The sequence below is a fragment of the Homo sapiens genome, chromosome 2, assembly GCF_000001405.40.
Source record: "Homo sapiens chromosome 2, GRCh38.p14 Primary Assembly".
In the NCBI taxonomy this organism is placed as follows: Eukaryota; Metazoa; Chordata; class Mammalia; order Primates; family Hominidae; genus Homo; species Homo sapiens.
Window position 1 is genome coordinate 19,605,801 of NC_000002.12, and position 18,125 is coordinate 19,623,925.

General features: G+C 39.8%; 1 protein-coding gene across 3 annotated transcripts in view; it reads right to left on the reverse strand.

Annotated features, from left to right (window-relative positions):
• Positions 1-17,034: 17,034 nt before the first annotated feature.
• Positions 17,035-18,125, reverse strand: part of LOC124905977 (uncharacterized) — an 82,330-nt gene continuing 81,239 nt past the window's right edge. For all 3 annotated transcript variants that reach the window (XR_007086240.1, XM_047446558.1, XM_047446557.1), the window contains exon 4: positions 17,035-17,947. Coding sequence is in view for 2 of the 3 variants with exons in the window: in XM_047446558.1 (XP_047302514.1) it covers positions 17,897-17,947 (51 nt within the window). In the remaining variant the exon portion in view is untranslated. The remainder of the gene's footprint in view (positions 17,948-18,125) is intronic.

Genomic DNA, 18,125 nt, shown 5'->3' on the forward strand with positions numbered 1-18,125 from the left:
GAAGATCCTAGAATCCATGTCATATGACGGGTAAGTGGAGGAAAAGCATGACTTACCTGGAAAGAGAAAACTTAAAGGATACTTGACACCTGCTATTAAATGTCTAGCAGGTTGTCACATATAGGGGGAAGTAGACGTATTAGTTGTGGTTTGAATGTTGTGGTCTGAAAGAATTAGAACCAATGAGTGAGAAATACAAGATATAGGTTATTAATCCAACCTTGATCAGATTAATTAGTAAGCAAGAAGCTAACTCATTAGTTGTACTAAAATATTTATCCTAGTATTCATTCAGACAACCTGTACAGATTTTTAATACAGAAATCCCTATTTCACTCATAATTCACTGCACTATTGCAGAATGATAAAAACTTACCAATGTAATAACAATTCTTTATATTAATTGCCTATATTCATGCCTGTAATAAACATGTTCAATCTGTGTAATTTGTTTTCCTGTGCTGTTTGTTTTGCTAACATTTATTGAAACATAATTTTATGTCTGTAAATCTAATGATAAAAATCTACTTTGTGTTTGTATTTTATGTGCTTATTTAGTTCTTCTAGTGATTTATCTTTATTGTATTTTACAAAAATATTGGTTTGCTTTAGATTAGAAATTTTAAAAACTGATTCTTAACCACAGAAAGAGAAGCACTGACTGGTGTTGATGCTCAATTAGAGCTGAAGGACCTGCTGCTGTGGAGGCTGAAATGGGAAAAGCTGCTTCGAAGGTGGTTGACACCGAATTGTATCATCCCCCAGTGCAGTGTCGACACAGTAGGCTCTTAATTGCATAAAATAAATATATAAACATTATATAAATTATACAAAATTGTAAATACCAAACCTATAAATGGTATAACTTGCAAATTGATTTTTTAAAATCTCTACGTAGTCCAAAGGAGGCAAGACAGGTGGCTGGAGGCTTAACCCATGTTAGATGATGAGTACGGCTTGATGGAAATAGAACTTCCTAGCCTTGAAAAGTGAAGACATCAAGAATACTTCCTCGCTGTCTTCAAAAGATCTTAAGGGTGTTATGGCAGAGGTTAAGGGAATTGTAAGAAGTATGCTAAGAAAATCCACGAAGTAAAACTATGACTAATGGATGGAAGGTGCAGAAAGGCAGATACTGATTCAACAAAGAATCTCTCGACAATTCCAGTTTTAGAGAAATGAAGAGAGCTGCCTCATGTGGTAGTGAGTTCACTGTTCTTGTAGTTCTTGTAGTTCACTAAAAGACTGAGGGAGTTTGGGAGCTGAAAAAAGGTTTCCTGCACAAAGTGGAACACTCTGCATTTTATAGCATTCTTACAAATTTTTCAAGGGAGTGTACTAGGGCTTTCATTATCTAGTATTTTATATTAAACTCATAGAAAATCTGGGAGGTAAGTATCACTATCCGCACTTTAGAAATGAGAAATCAGAAGCTTGGAGTGGTTAAAAATGGTCACAGACAGACAGAAGTGGTGGGTATGGGGTTTCGCCCCTGGGGTGGCTGATGCCATGCTCTAACGGAACATAATACTGTCAGCAACTCTGAAAGCCAATGACTCTGTGTACTCAAAACCCTGAAATGTGATCAGAAACCTAAAAAAAAGAAGTTCCAAGACGAATAATTTTTATTTCATTAGATGTCTTTTGGAGTTTGAGGCTCTTAATTCTCTGAAGACTTCCAGAAGGTGCAAGAGCCTCCCCTCTTCCTACCACGTGCTTCTCTTCCATAACCTTCGTCCTTCCCCTCTCCAACTATCCAGAAGTCTCACAATGACTCGGAGAGAAAGGATGTCATTGGTATGCGCAGACATTCTGGCTTTACCTCTTTCCCAGGATACTGTACTTTAAGAGATGTAGCTCTAGGCAGTAACATTTTGTCCAAAGGAATTAACTGCAATGGTGGAATGTCTGGTATAGTGAAAAAGATTCTTGCATATAGGAGACCTTCTAAGCACCCCCAACCACACAGTAGAGGACACCACTGAGCCTCCCTGTGGCAAAGCCAGTCCTTCTCTTAAGTTATATCAACACAAGCACCCTTCAGCAGTTAAGTTTCCTGGAACATCCAAAGATTCATTGACTTATGCTTTGGAGGAAGATTTACAAGTCCTCTTTTGTAAAGAGAAGTTCGCTATGTGACTTGAGTGAGACAGAACATCACTTGCTTTGATCCTTGCAGAAACAGGATGAGAGGTCCCAAGATTCTGACTCACTATCCATTGCCCTGACCCTGAGCAACCCAGCCTCGTCCTGGTCTTAAAGTGTATTGGCACTTTGCTGTCTGTTCTCCTTCCATTGCTTTTGATTTTGCATACCCTGAGTCATCTCTGAAGATTCCATGCAACCAGCTGGGTGGCTGGCATCCAGCTCTGTGACACTTGCCTTGATTGATGTGCATCCTCTTAAGCATCTGCTCACGACAACTGTCTCTACCCTGAAGATGACCAGAAGGGACTCCTCATCTTGCTTTACCTGTCTTCAGCACTTAGCCATTAGGCTGTTACCAGCAAAGCTGTCCTTTTCTCATAACAGATCGGCCTGATTGTGTAACTGTATCCCTTTACTTCTGACAGCATTTTCAGCTTTGTGTAACCTCCAAACATATGAATAATTTTCACTTGTGCATTGCAATGAGCTTGGGGAACATTCAGAGTTCAGAGGTACAGCTAGAAATATGTCCAGAAGGATGAGTCAAATAATGTTGGGGGTGACTGGGAAAGAGAAGAAAGGGTCCTGCCATGCCTCTCCTGTGAGCCAACAGTCTGATGCGCACTTCAGGGTCACTGTTTCCAGTGTGCAAGTCCTTGGCTGTTGGAATGAAATGTCTGCCTCTTTGTTCTGCCTCCCACTTTCTCCTCCTTCTCTTCTTCCTACTTCCCTCTCCTCCAATTCACCCCATGAAAATATTGCATAATGTTCACAGATAACCCACTAAGCCTAGCTTAGTCTATTAGGAGATTCCCTTTCTGTAAGCTTTCAGAATCCCATACATTTGCCAGCAGTGTGATTGCTTTCTAAGTCAACATGACTGTCCCCTTCCCCAAAGGAACCCTTCACTTTTCTTTCTTAAATTCCACTGTGTGTCTCCCACAAACAGGTTTTTTAGTAGAATCTCATGAAGATAAGAATGCCTTTAAAGAATGCAAGATTTCTAAAAATATTCAACAAAAATATTCCCAATACACCTCTCATAACAATTCCATCCCAGAGTGTGGTCCAAAATAAATTGAGGATTTGTCTGTACAACAGCTTCAAGATGTTCAGAAGGTGTCAAAAATGGCAAGGATCTGACACTCATCGAAGTGTTCAGTTAACCATACCCACAACCTCCAGGGCTTTAAAAACATATAAATTGCAAAGATTGAGGTGAACAGTTTGATCAACTTTGAATCCAAAGGTGCTGATGACAGACAGGAATAGGAGCACTTCCCAGACACAATTATGTTCAGGCAGCTTGAAGTAAAAGTAGCCAGCCTTGGTGTAGTGCTTTGCAAAGAGTGGTGATTTGCATCATCCAAGTGCTTTGCAGAGCTTTAGCAAAAGTATTCTGAGTGTGAACAAACAGTAGAGACTGTGCTTGGAACAAGCTGGACAGAGTTCACCTTCCCGTGGGGAGCAGGGAATGTTGGCTTTAGGACCAGACCTGCTCTCTGCTTCTGGCGCCATGGCAGCACGCTTGCACGAGGCCTTTGCTCCCCTAGCATTGGAAGCCACTCCAGCCTTGAGTGCCAGCTCGGCCACCTGAATGGAAGACAAGAGCTCTTTGGCAGCCAAGATGCCCCAAGTTCTTCCCATTTTTATTCCACTCATTCTCTTTCCTCTTCCCCTCCCATGTCTCTGGCTACTCGTTCCCAGGCCCATCCCTGGACTTCTCCTCTTCTGCCCAGCCTTTACCTGTTTGTGTTTTCCAACCTTCTCTTTGGCCCACTGCTTTCCTCACTCATTCTACCCTTGCTAGACATGCTAATTCCTTCTCTTGGCTTTAACCCCTATACTGAGGGCTTCCAAATCCACAGCCCCAGGTGAAAGCTCTCTCTGCTCACTTCTTCAGTGTTCTAGGACCCATTCTACCCCACACATCCTGATTTCCTTTTGCTGTGTCCCTTCTGTTGGAATACCCCACCATTTCTTCAATCTCTGCCCCTGAAACTTTGCCTGATTAGGAAGACAACAGGATGAGGTGAAAGCACATGGAACTTGAAGCCCTGTAGGGTTCAAGTTCTCACTCTGTGTATCTGGATCACCTACAGGTCTGTGTGTCTGGATCACCGATCTCTACCTCAGTTTCTTCATCTGGACAATGACACTAAAGCTGCAGGGCTGTCAGGAGGATTAAGTAAGGTAATGCAGGTGAAAGGTTCTGCACAGAGCTTCACTCATAATCAGCCCTAAATATGTGGTGCTGACATAATGGTATTAATAACAATAGCAGCATCAGCAGCAGCAGCAATGGTGAGAACAGATAATAACTGAAGACTGCCTGCCCGTCTGATAGCATACTCCACTTCCCCAGCTCCAGTGGGACATAAACTGCCAGCCCCACCTGTGACCACTGCTTCCTCCTGTTCTTGCCCCACCCTGGTCCCTCCTTACCTCATCTGTGCTCTAAGTAGAGTGAATCTTTTTACCTACCCCCAAAAGAACCCCAATATGACACAGAATATTCCATTAATAGTCAAAAACATTAGACGCTTAATAGGCAACAAACCTATTTTTCCACTGACTTCTCTAAATGCTCACTTCTGAAACTACCTCCACTCTCAGCTGCTTGGGTAGATGATAACAGCTACCCTGGCCCAAGGGCTGTGGGGATAGCTGGTAAAGGAAGGGGCTACAGTGGGGCTCAAAAAGGAAATCAAGACACAGCAGAACTGAAAAGAGTAGAGATGCTCCAGTAAGCTGGACAATGTGTCCTTGACTGTGGAGCCAGGAGCTCTGAAATGAATTTGGTTATCTACCTGATAGCAACCTCAGAGGGTAAGGATGTCCTTCGAGTCCCTTAATTCCCTTAGAAACACAATGAAGGCCAGGCTCAGTGGCGCACGCCTGTAATCCCAGCACTTTGGGAGGCCAAGGAGGGTGGATCATCTGAGGTCAGGAGTTCGAGACCAGGCTGGCCAACATGGCGAAACCCCATCTCTATTAAAAATATAAAATTAGCCGGGATGTGGCACGTGCCAGTAATCCCAGCTACTCAAGAGGCTAAGGCAGGACAATCGCTTGAAGCTGGGAAGCGGAGGTTGCAAGGAGCCAAGATCACATCACAGTACTCCAGCCTGGGCAACAGAGTGAGACTCTGTCTCAAAAAAAACAAAACAAGACAAAACAAAACAAAAAACAACCAATAGAGACCTTTAGATTTTGGGTTTCTATGTTCTCAGTTTGAAGGTATTTTCATTTCTTAGTTTTTAAACTTATTGGATGAAATAACTATAGTTTTCTTAACTTTTTATCAAACTATCTTTCTCAGCTTCAGCTAATGTCCACCTTCATTCCAGAATTCCATGATTTGGTGAACAAGACATGTTAATACCATCTATACCCTTCACACCTTCACAGAGACCAGTGACACTCTCTGTTACTCTTTGTTTTTACAATCAGAAGAGCCCCTACCCCCAAGAAAGCACTATAGTTCTAATGTAAATGGAGCTTAGCACAGCATCAGAAAACTGGAGCTCATCAACTCCGCAATATGGTACCTGACTCTGAAGACATCTCCACAAACAGTGCTCCCAGCCTTTTTCTCCTCTTGGTGCACATAGAAAATGATACCTTTTTCATGGCTTTCCAGGGTAAATTGAAGGAGCTGCTCACAGCTGGAGGTAACTAGGCCACAACTCTGGAGAGCCCCAGAACCTGCCCGGCTGCCCCAAGAATTAAGAGGATCAGTATCTCAGACACACCTGTAATCCATTTGTAGCAACTTGGCATGCCCTGGCACCCCGTTGAGAAGCTCTACCCAAAAGGTTGTCGTATTGCCTGAGAGACCAATAGAATGCTTATTCCATTAAATAAGACCTTCTCTTCAGAAAGCCCAAGTCTATTTTTCACCTCCGTGTTAGCTTCCCTGAAATATGTTTCCCATTCACTAGTTAGTGCTTTGTCATGCTCAGCAAGGAGGATGATCTGGTGGCCACAGTAAAGAAAGAATCAGGAGCCATGTGGATTCTAAATTTATGATTCAGCAGCCATGGCTTCTGACTCACTCACATTAGATGACCTGTGGAGAAAACCACTGGACTTTGGACAGGCCCTGATGAGATGAGCTGGAAAATAATATCACAATGGGTTTCTACTGGCAACCAAACACTATGTGAAAGTTGAGACTTCCTGAGCAGATAAATTAAAAGCAAGCTGTACAGGAGCATCATGACAAAAGCCATATGTTGAACTTCAGCAGATGCAGGACAGAAAACCACAGAGCCTATCATGTCACACAGCATCACCTCTTGTACACCTATAAACTGCTGAGCTGTGTCAACAAAGTCACCTGGTCACTGTCCTTTCTGTGTGTCACAAGTATACTAAGTTGTAAAATCTGTGGACTCGGAAGCCAGGTAGGCCTGAGGTAGAATCCCGGCTTGAATACATCTGAGCTATGTAATGTTGGGCATGGCACTCAGCTTCTTGAGGTGTCAGCTGTGTTCTCTATAAAATGGGGATAAATGTGTGCTCATAATTTTCTCCATAAATACCAAAAAAAATTGACAGCAATTCAGCAATGATTTTTTTTTGACATAGTCTCGCTCTGTCACCCAGGCTGAAGTGCAGTGGCACGATCTCGGCTTACTGCAACCTCCGCCTCCCGGGTTCAAGCAATTCTCCCTGCCTCAGCCTCCCGAGTAGCTGGGATTACAGGCACCTGCCACCACATCTGGCTAATTTTTATATTTTTAGTAGAGATGGGGTGGCCGGGCTGGTAATTTTGTATTTTTAGTTTTTGCCATGTTGGCCAGCCTGATCTCAAACCCCTGACCTCAGGTGATCTGCCCACCTTGGCCTCCCAAAGTGCTGGGATTATAGGTATGAGCCACCACGCCTGGCCTCAGCAATGATTCTTGACTTTAGGAAATAACCAAGACAAAAGAAAAATAGGCTACTTCTTTAAAAGAAGTTCAATGGATACACATGAGAGGCTGTCCCTCAGAAGCCAAGAGAAAAACAGGGATGTCCCCCCATCACCAACCATAGTTTCACACAATATCAAAAGTATTAGCAGAAGAAATAATAATAATAAAGGTCTACAAATTGGAGGGGAACAGTTCCACTTTCAAATGAGCATGGAATAGAGGTGCTTTTCTTGTAAAATGTTTCTCACTCCTGCTGGAAGGTTTTCCCTGTGCCTCCTGCTAAAAGTCCTGGGCGGTATACACAGCAAAAACATAAGAAGCCTGAAATGTAGAGAGAAAGATTCAGACTGACTAGGAGCCTCAGGACCCAGGTAATAACATGATAGAGAGTTCCCTTGGTTTTTTTCTTGCCTAATCTATCCCAGATCGGGCGCTGGAGAAGCCAGCAATCCAAAAACACCAACCAAAACAAACAAATAAGCAAAATAAAATTCCAACTAGTGCCAGTTCTCTCTAGATAAAGGAACAGGAAGGGACAACCTGGCAAGACAGAGAAGTTTAGACATTGACCTCTCTGCCCTAGAGAAACACCATGGGATAAAAATGGCCATACCTCCAACCTCATCAGCAAAGACTGAGTGGGAAGCCTGGACTTTTACCTTCTTCACCTGGCTGTAACATGGAACCTGACCCACCCACCACAAAACCTCTCTACCACTGGTGTGGTGTCAGACAACAAGTGAGAAGCCAGGATTTTCAAGTGAAAAATAAACTTGGGACTTTCTGAAGAGAAGATCTTATTTAATGGAATAAGCATTCTGTTGGTTTCTCCTGGTCTCTCAAAGTCCAGTGGTTTTCCACAGGTCATGCCTGGCTGCAATGAGCCCTCTCCCCATGGAGTCAGTAGAAACTAGGTAGGAATTCTGAACTTCTACCCCCAACAAATGGTAATGAGCTGCACTTTCTCCACCATGCCTGTATCAGGAGGCCTAATGGAGAGGCAGGACCTTCTCACCATCCAGTGGTAAAAAGGATGCCCCATGTATGTGATGTCAGTAGAAGCCACATGGAGAGCAGTAAGAAGGCACCCCTCCTATACCAACTAGGGTAATATAAATGAAAACCTAGGAGGGAACCTAAATTTCCACTCCTACCTAAGGAGTAGATGCCCTTGCCTCATCCCTCCCCACCCACCTCCCTGCTACTTAGGTCAAGTGGGGAACTAGGACCCACCTGGCAATAATGAGGCAGGACACTCATTTCCCTTCCAGAGTGATATCAGGTGAGGCTTGTTAAAGCAGACTTAAATAAGATCCAGGGCCTTATAACATAATACCAAAAACGTTCAGGATACCACAAAAAAAAAAATCACTCATACCAAAACCAGAAAAATTTCAACTTGAGTAAGAAAAGAGAATCAACAGATGCCAAACCCAGGATGACACAGATGTTAGAATTATCTGAAAAGAATTTTAAGTAGCTATCATAAAATTACCTCAGTGAGTAATTATGAACATGCTTGTAATAAATGAAAAATATATTTTGGAACTGATGAATACAATAACCAAAATAAAAACTTAATGGATGTACTCGGCAGCAGAATGGTAAGAACAGAGGGAAGAATCATTGAACTTAGAACAACAGAAATTACTCACTCTGAACAGAGAGTAATAGACTTAAAAACTTAATACAACCTCAGAGTTCTGTGGACAATATCAAAAGATAGAACATTTGCATTATTAGACTGACAGAAAAAAAGGGAAAAGATAGTGGGGTAAAAATATCCCCAAATAAATAATTCTGACTTTTAAAAAAATTTATCCAAAAACATAAACCTCCGGATACAAGATTCTGGGAGAACTTCAAACAAGATAAACCAAAAGAAATCCACACCAAGACACATAATTAAACTTCTGAAAATTAAAGACCAAGAAGATATCTTGAAAGCAGTGGGAGAAAATCAACAATCAAGAGAAAATCAAGAGAATGTGTTAGTCTGTTTTGCATTGCTTTAAAGAAATACCTGAGACTGGGTAGTTAATAAAGAGAACAGGTTTATTTGGCTTATGGTTATACAGGCTGTACAAGAAGCATGGTGCCAGCATCTGCTTCTAGTGAGAACCCCAGGAAGCTTTTACTCATGGTGGACAATGAAGGTGGAGCAAGTGCATCACATGGCAAGAGAGGAAGCAAGACAGAGAGGGGGAAGATGCCAAGCTCTTTTAACAATCAGATTATCGGGGGAACCAGCCCCCAATATTTCAAAGTCGGTTCTTTTTATTTTCCCTAAGTGTCAGCTGGTCAGAGAAATAAAGAGAAAAGGGTACAAAGAGAAGAATTTTACAGCTGGGCAGCCATGGGTAACATCACATATTGGTAGGTCCGTGATGCCCACCTGAACCACAAAACCAACAGGTTTTTATTAAGGACTTCAAAAGGGGAGGGGGTGTATGAACAGGGAGTAGGTCACAAAGATCACATGCTTCTGAGGCCAATAAAGATCATAAGGCAAAGGGCAAAGCAAAGATCACAAGGCAAAGGGTGAAATTAGAATTACTGATGAGGGTCTATGTTCAGCTGTGCATGTATTGTCTTGATAAACATCGTAAACAACAGAAAACAGGGTTCGAGAGCAGAGAACTGGTCTGACCTCAAATTCACCAGGGTGGGGTTTTTCCCCACCCTAGTGAGCCTGAGGGTACTGCAGGAGACCAGTGCATATTTCAGTCCTTATCTCAACCGCATAAGACAGACACTCCCAGAGTGGCCATTTATAGACCTCCCCCAAGGAATGCAATTCTTTTCCTAGGGTCTTTATATTATATTCCTTGCTAGGAAAAGAATTTAGTGATATCTCTCCTACTTGCACGTCCGTTTATAGGCTCTCTGCAGGAAGAAAAATATGGCTGTATTCTGCCCAACCCCGCAGGGAGTCAGACCTTTGGTTGTCTTCCCTTGTTCCCTAAAATCACTATTATTCTGTTTGATTTCAAGGTGCACTGATTTCACATTGTTCAAACACCCATGTTTTACAATCAGATTTCATATTGTTCAAACACACATGTTCTACAATCAATTTGTACAACAGTGGTCCTGAGGTGACGTACATTCTCAGCTTATGAAGATAATAGGATTAAGAGATTAAAGTAAAGACAAGCATAAGAAATTATAAGAGTATTATTTGGGAACTGATAAATGTCCATGAAATCTTCACAATTTATGTTCAGAGATTGCAGTAAAGACAGGCGTAAGAAATTATAAAAGTATTAATTTTGGGAACTGATATACATCCATATTAAAATGAAATCTTCACAATTTATGTTCCTCTGCCGTGGCTCCAGCTGGTCCCTCCATTCTGGGTCCCTGACTTCCTGCAACATCAGATCTTGCATGAACTAATAGAGTGGGAACTCACTCATTACCACAGGGAGGGTGTCAAGCCATTCATGGAAAGATCCACCCCCATGATCCAAACATCTCCCAACAGGTCCCACCTCCAACATTGGGGATGACATTTCAACATGAGATTTGGAGAGGACAAATTATATCAGAGACCTTCCCTAAACAGAAAGGATATGATAAAAGAAGGAACTTTGGAACATCAGAAAGGAAGGAAGGACAATGGAAAGAGAAAAAATATGGGTAAATATTATAGATATCATAGACTTCACTTTTTCTTTTCCTGTTGAGACAATTTTATGTGTAGAAGGGTGAAGAAACTTAAAGAGGCTGGGTGTAATGATTACACCTGTAATCTCAGCACTTTGGGAGGCCAAGGCAGGCAGACCACTTGAGCCCAAGTGAAACCCTGTCTCTACCAAAAATACAAAAATTAGCCAGACTTGGTGGCATATGCTTGTAGTCTCGGCTACTCAGGAAGCTGAAATGGAAAGATTGCTTGAGCCCAGGAGGTGGGGGTTGCCGTGAGCCAAGATTGTGTCACTGTACTCTAGCCTGGGTGACAGAGTGAGACTGTTAAAAAAAATAATAATAAAAGGAAGAAAGAAACTTCAAAGGAGGCATGGCATGGTGTCTACACTCAAACTGGTAAATAGTCATAAGTTATATATACACATACATATATATACACACACTTATGTATATATGTACATATATATATACACATACACATGTACATATATAAATGCCTATAGCTACTCCTAAAATTTTATTCAAAAAGATTCACTCAAATACACTATAAGTGAATCAAAATGGAATTCCACGGGGAAAGGCCACGGGGAGAAGAAAACTTCCAGATGAGCTTTGTAACAATTTTGACCAAATGTTAAGTGTCCTGGACAGAATCCAGGGGAGAAGGTGAACAGGGAGTGCAGATACAAGCACAAAAACTGCATCGGGGTAGGCCTAAAACCTGAAAGCCCTGCTTGCATTCTCAGCAGGGAGGCTTTTAGCCTGGAGCAAGTTCTCAGCTCTGCTCACCTCACCTGCTGCCTGGAAATAAGCTTGGTGCTGTTGGGGGAGCACTGTAGGAGTGACACTGGCCTTTTGGGTTGCATGGGAGCTGGGTGAGGCCTGTCACTGCCACCTTTCCCCCACTTCCCTGATGGCCTGTATGACTCAGAAAAGGCAGCCATAATCCCCCTTGTAACATAACTCCATCTGTCTGAGAACCACACCTTTATCCCCCACAGCAGCTGCAGCAAGCCCCACTTAAGAAGTGGCTGAACTCAGACACTCCTAACCCTTCCCACACCTCATGGTCTTTCTCCATGAACCTGGTAGCTGAAGACAAAGAACATAATCTCTTGGGAGATCTATGGCCCTGCTCACTGCCTGAGAAACTTATCCAGGCAACCCTAGGGCAACCCTGTATCCTCCCTATGCTAATGCAATCGATGCTGTCTTGAAAGCAACACCTCCTGGCTGGGGACCAATAAACACAAAACTAGCACACTAAACAAAACTATAACCAAGGACTCTCACAGTCTACTTCACTCCACTGCTACCTCCACCAGAGCAGGTGCTGGTATCCATGGCAGAGAGACCTGAAGACAGATCGCATTACACAACTCTTTGCCGACACTCCCCAGTACCATCCTAGAGACTGGTAGCCCCACAGGGTGGCTAGACCCAGAAGAGAAATAACAATCACTACAATTTGGCTCTTGGGAAGCCCTATCCCTAGGGGAAGGGGAAGAACACCACATCATGGGAGCACCCCATGGGACAAAAGATTCGAGCAATAGCCCTTGAGCCCCAGATCTTCCCTCTGACATAATATACCCAAATCTATCCAAATTAGAAGGAGCCAGAAAAACAATTCTGACAATATGACAAAACAAGGTTCTGTAACACCCCCAAAAGATCATACTAGCTCACCAGCAATGGATCCAAACCAAGAGGAAATCTCTGAATTGCCAGAAAAAAAAAATCAGAAGGTTAATTATTAAACTACTCAAGGAGGCACCAGAGAAAGGTGAACACAAACATAAAGAAATCAAAATATGTTACAGGATATGGATGGAAAAATCTCCACAGAAATAGACAGCATAAATAAAAAACAATCACAACTTCTGGAAATAAAGGACACACTTAGAGAAATGCAAAATACACTGGAATGTGTCAGCAATTGAATAGAACAAGTAGGAGAAAGAACTTCAGACCTCGAAGACAAGGCTTTCAAATTAACCCAATCCAACAAAGACAAAGAAAAAAGTATTGTAAAAACTGAGCAAAGTCTCCATGAAGTTTGGGATTATGTTAAACAACCAAACCTAAGAATAATTGGTGTTTCCGAGGAAGAAGAGAGATCTAAAGGCTTGGAAAACATATTTGAGGGAATAATCGAGGAAAACTTCCCTGGACTTGCTAGAGATTAAGACATTCAAATACAAGAAGCTCAAAGAACACCCAGGAAATTCACTGCAAAAAGATCATTGCCTAAGCATATAGTCCAAGTAATCTAAAGTTAAAACAAAGAAAAGAATTTTAAGAACTGTGAGGAAAAAGCATTGGGTAACCTATAAAGGAAAACCTACCAGATCAACAGATTTCTCAGCAGAAACCCTACAAGCTAGAAGGCATTGAGTTCCTATCTTTAGCCTCCTTAAAGGAAGCAATTATCAGCCAAGAATTTTGTATCCAGCAAAACTAAGCTTCGTAAGTGAAGGAAAGATACAGTCTTTCCAGACAAACAAATGCTGAGAGAATTCAACACTGCCACACCAGCACCACAAGAACCTCTAAAAAGGCTCTAAATCTTGAAGCAAATTCTTGAAATACCCCAAAATTGAACTTCCTTAAGGGATAAATCTCACAGGACCTATAAAACAATAACAATGAAAACAACAACAACAATGTATCCAGGCAACAACTAGCACAATGAATAGAATACTACCTACTTCTCAATACTAATGTTGAATGTAAATGTCCTAAATCTTCCACTTAAAAGATACAGAATGGCAGAATGGATAAGAATTCGCCCACCAAGTATCTGCTGTCTTCAATAGACTCACCTAACACATAAGAATTCACATAAGGTAAAGGTGTGCAAAAAGATATCCCATACAAACAGACACTAAAAACAAGCAGGAGTCGCTATTCTTATATTTGACAACGCAGACTTTAAAGCAACGAGTTTAAAAAGACAAAGAGGGACATTATATAATGATAAAAGGACTAGTCCAAAAGACAAATATCACAATCCTAAATATATTTGCACCTAACAATGGAGCCCCTAAATTTATAAAACAAGTACTACTAAACCTAAGAAATTAGACAGCAACACAATAATAGTGGGGGAATTCAATACTCCACTGACAGCACTAGACAGGTCATCAAGACAGAAAGTCAACAAAGAAACCATGGACTTAAACTATACCCTAGAACAAATGGACTTGACAGATATTTACAGAACATTCTTTCCAACAACTGCAGAATATATATTCTATTCATCTATTCATCAGCAAATGGAACATTCTCCAAGATAGACCATATGATAGGCCACAAAAGAAGTCTCAATAAATTTACGAAACTCGAAATTATATCAAGTACTCTCTGACCACAGTGGAATAAAATCGGAAATCAACTTCAAAAGGAACCCTCAAAACCCTGCAAAGGCATAGAAATTATATAACCTGCTCCTGAATGATCATTGGGTCAACAATGAAATCGATGGAAATTTTAAAAATTCTTTGAACTGAGCAATAATAGTGACACAATCTATCAAAACCTCTGAGATACAACAAAAGCAGGGCTAAGAAGAAAGTTCATAGCACTGGATGCCTACACCAAAAAGTCTGAAAGAGCACAAATAGATAATCTAAGATCACACCACAAGAAACTACAGAAACAAGAATAAAACAAACAAACAAAAACAATACAAAAGATAAATGAAACAAAAATCTGGTTCTTTGAAAAGATAAAATTGATAGACCATTAGCATAATTAACCAAGAAAAGAAGAGAGAAGATCCAAATAAGCTCAATTAGAAATGAAATGGAAGATATTACAACCAATACCACAGAAATACAAAAGGTCATTCAAAGTTACTGTGAGTAGCTTTATGTGCATAAACCAGAAAACCTAGAGGAGATGGGTAAATTCCTGGAGATATACAACCTTCCTAGATTAAACCAGGAAGAAATAGAAACTCTGAACAGACCAATAACAAGCAGCAAGATTGAAATAATAATTAAAAATTACCAACAAATAAAAGTCCAGGACCAGATGGATTCACAGCTAAATTCTATCAGACATTCAAAGAAGAATTGATATTAATCCTATTGACACTATTCCAAAAGAAAGAGAAAGAGAGAATTCTTCCTAAATCATTCTATGAAGCCAGTATCACCCTAATACCAAAACCAGGGAAGGACATAACAAAAAAACAACAACAAACAAAGAAAACTACAGACCAATATCCCTGATGAACATAGATGCAAAAAGTCTTAACAAAATACTAGCTAACTGAATTCAACAGTATATCAAAAAGATAATCCACCATGATCAAGTGGGTTTCACACCAGGGATGCAGTGATGGTTTACTATACACAAGTCAATAAATGTGACATAACACATAAACAAAATTAAAAACAAAAATCACATAATCATCTCAACACAGAGAAACACATTTGACAAAATTCAGCTTTCTTTATGATAAAGACCCTCAGCAAAATCAGCATACAAAGGACATACCTTAAGATAATAAAAGCCATGTATGACAAACCCACAGCCACATTATACTGAAGAAGGAAAAACTGAAAGCATTCCCCCCAAAAAACTGGAACAAGACAAGGATACCCACTCTCACCACCTCAATTCGACATAGTATTGGAAGTCTAAGTCAAAGCAATCAGACAATAGAAGGAAATAAATGGCATCCAAATTATTAAAGAGGAAGTCAAACTGTTGCTGTTTGCTGATGATATGATCGTATACACAGAAAACCCTAAAGACTCATCCAAAAAGCTCCTAGAACTGATAAATGAATTCAGTAAATTTTCAGGATACAAAATTAATGTACACAAATCACTAGCACTGCTATACACCAACAGCAACCAAGTTGAGAATCAAATCAAGAATTCAACTTCTTTTACAATAGTGGCAAATTAATTAATTAATTAATTAATTTAGGAATATACCTAACCAGGCAGGTGAAAGACCTCCACAAGGAAAACTACAAAACACTGCTGAAATAAATCATAGATGACATAAACAAATGAAACACATCTCATACTCATGGACAGATAGAATCAATATGGTAAAAATGACCATACTGCCATAAGCAATCTACAAATTGAATGCAATTCCCACCAAAATACCACTATCATTCTTCACAGAACTAGAAAAAACAATCCTAAAATTCATATAAAACCAATAAAGAGCCCATATAGCCAAAGCAAGACTGAGCAGAAATAACAAATCCAGAGGCCTCACATTACCCGACTTCAACCTATACTATAAGGCCATAGTCACCAGAACAGAATGGTACTGGTATAAAAATAGGCACATAGACAAATGGAAAAGAATAGATAACTCAGAAATAAAGTTAAATACTTATAGTCAACTGATCTTGGACAAAGCAAACACAAATGTAAAGCTGCGGAAAGGATACCAACGCGTGGATAAAGAAAATTATACACACACACACACACACACACACACACACACACACACACCATGGAAATACTACTCAGCCATAAAAAAGAATGAAACAATGGCATTAGCAGCAACCTGGATGGAATGGAAAACCAAATATCATGCATTCTCACTCATAAGTGGGATCTATGCTATGAGGATGCAAAGGCATAAGAATGATGCAATAGACTCTGGGGACTCAGGAGAAAGGGTGGGAAGCAGGTGAAGGATAAAAGACTACACACTGGGTATAGTATACACTGCTTAGCTGTAGGGTGCACCAAAATCTCAGAAATCATGACTAGAAGAATTTATCCATGTAACCAAACACCATCTGTTCCCCAGAAACCTTTTGAAATAAAAAATAAAAATTAAAAAATAAAACAAATAACACAGTTATAAGCATCTCTGTAAACATGTACAATTATATTTTGGGGGATATACTAAGTGGTATTGCTAGCTCAACATGCATGCAATTTTAAAAAGAGAATTACTTCTTATTGTAAAAACCATGCAGGTGGCTTTTGGAGGTGATGGATATGTTTATTACCTTGATCATGGTAATCCTATCATGAGTGCATGTATGTGTCCAAACTTATCAAATTGTATGCCTTAAACATATGCAGTTTTAAAATATGCAATTACACCTCAATAAAGCTGATTTTTAAAATGAAGAAAAATAAATAAAATAAAAATGGAATTCCAAAAATGTTTAACCCACAAGAAGACATAAAAAAGAAAACAAAGAAATAACAATGAAATATAGAGAGAAAAAAAATTTTAAATGTCAGACTTAAGTACTAACATATAAATAATTACATCAAATGTAAGTTATCTAAACACACCAATTAACACACATCAACAGAGTAGTTTGAAAAACATGACCCAACTAAATGCTGTTTACAATAAACTCACTTCAAATATAATGATACAGGTAGGTTGAAAGTAAAAGGATGGAAATATATATACCATGCAAATCTTAATCCAAAAGAAAAGCAGGAATTGCTATATTAGTATCAGGTAAAGTAAGCATCAGAGCAAAGAAAATTACCAGGTACATTATGTAATGATAAAAGGGTCAATCCACCAAGAAGACATAGCAATCCTATTTATGATTAATTGACATATTTGTAATTTTGTATCATATACATTTTAATTTGTTCAAGTGTCCTTTTGTGATGTCACAAGGTTTTCTTCATCTAGGTTATGCACATTTCTCAATCTGTGAGCACCACAATCATTAATACATGATTAATGTATTGAGATACCTCAAGGCTATGCAATTATCCTGTTTCTCGTTAATGTTTCACTCACTAATTGTAGCATTAATCTGTGGATCTTGCTTGCAGCAACTATTACTGTGATGTTCTAATGAAAATGTTCTAGTTGCCTCATTCCTCCTACGTTTATTAATTGGAATTCTTCTACTTATTCTTTTTTTTTTTTTTTACCTATATAGTAGCCCATTGTAATCTGAAATCTACTTTATACAAGCAGTCCCCTATTGATAAGCACTTAAGCTGTTTATGCCATCATAGACAACAGAATAAATTAACTGTATCCTTGTATACTACAGAACTTGTAGTTCATACCTGTAGATGTGTATCTCTAGCATTTATTTTATGTCAAGTGGAGATGCTGATCCGTGGGAAATGCATGAGTAATTTTGTTACTTACTGCCAAATTTCACTTCACAAGGACACACCAACCAGAAATATGTAATTGTTTTACCATAGCCTCACCAGCAGTGTGCACAGACATTTTGGATTTTTGCCAATCTGAAGGAAAAAAAAAGATATCTTAGCATAGTTTCCATTTTCATTTGTCTTGCTGTAAGTGAGGCTGAGCATCTTTTTATTTATTTAAGGGCAATTTATATTTATTTTTTTGTGAGTTTAGTTTCCTTTTTGTTTTTGCTGGTTTACATATTAGATTAATAGTTTTTTCTCAATTACT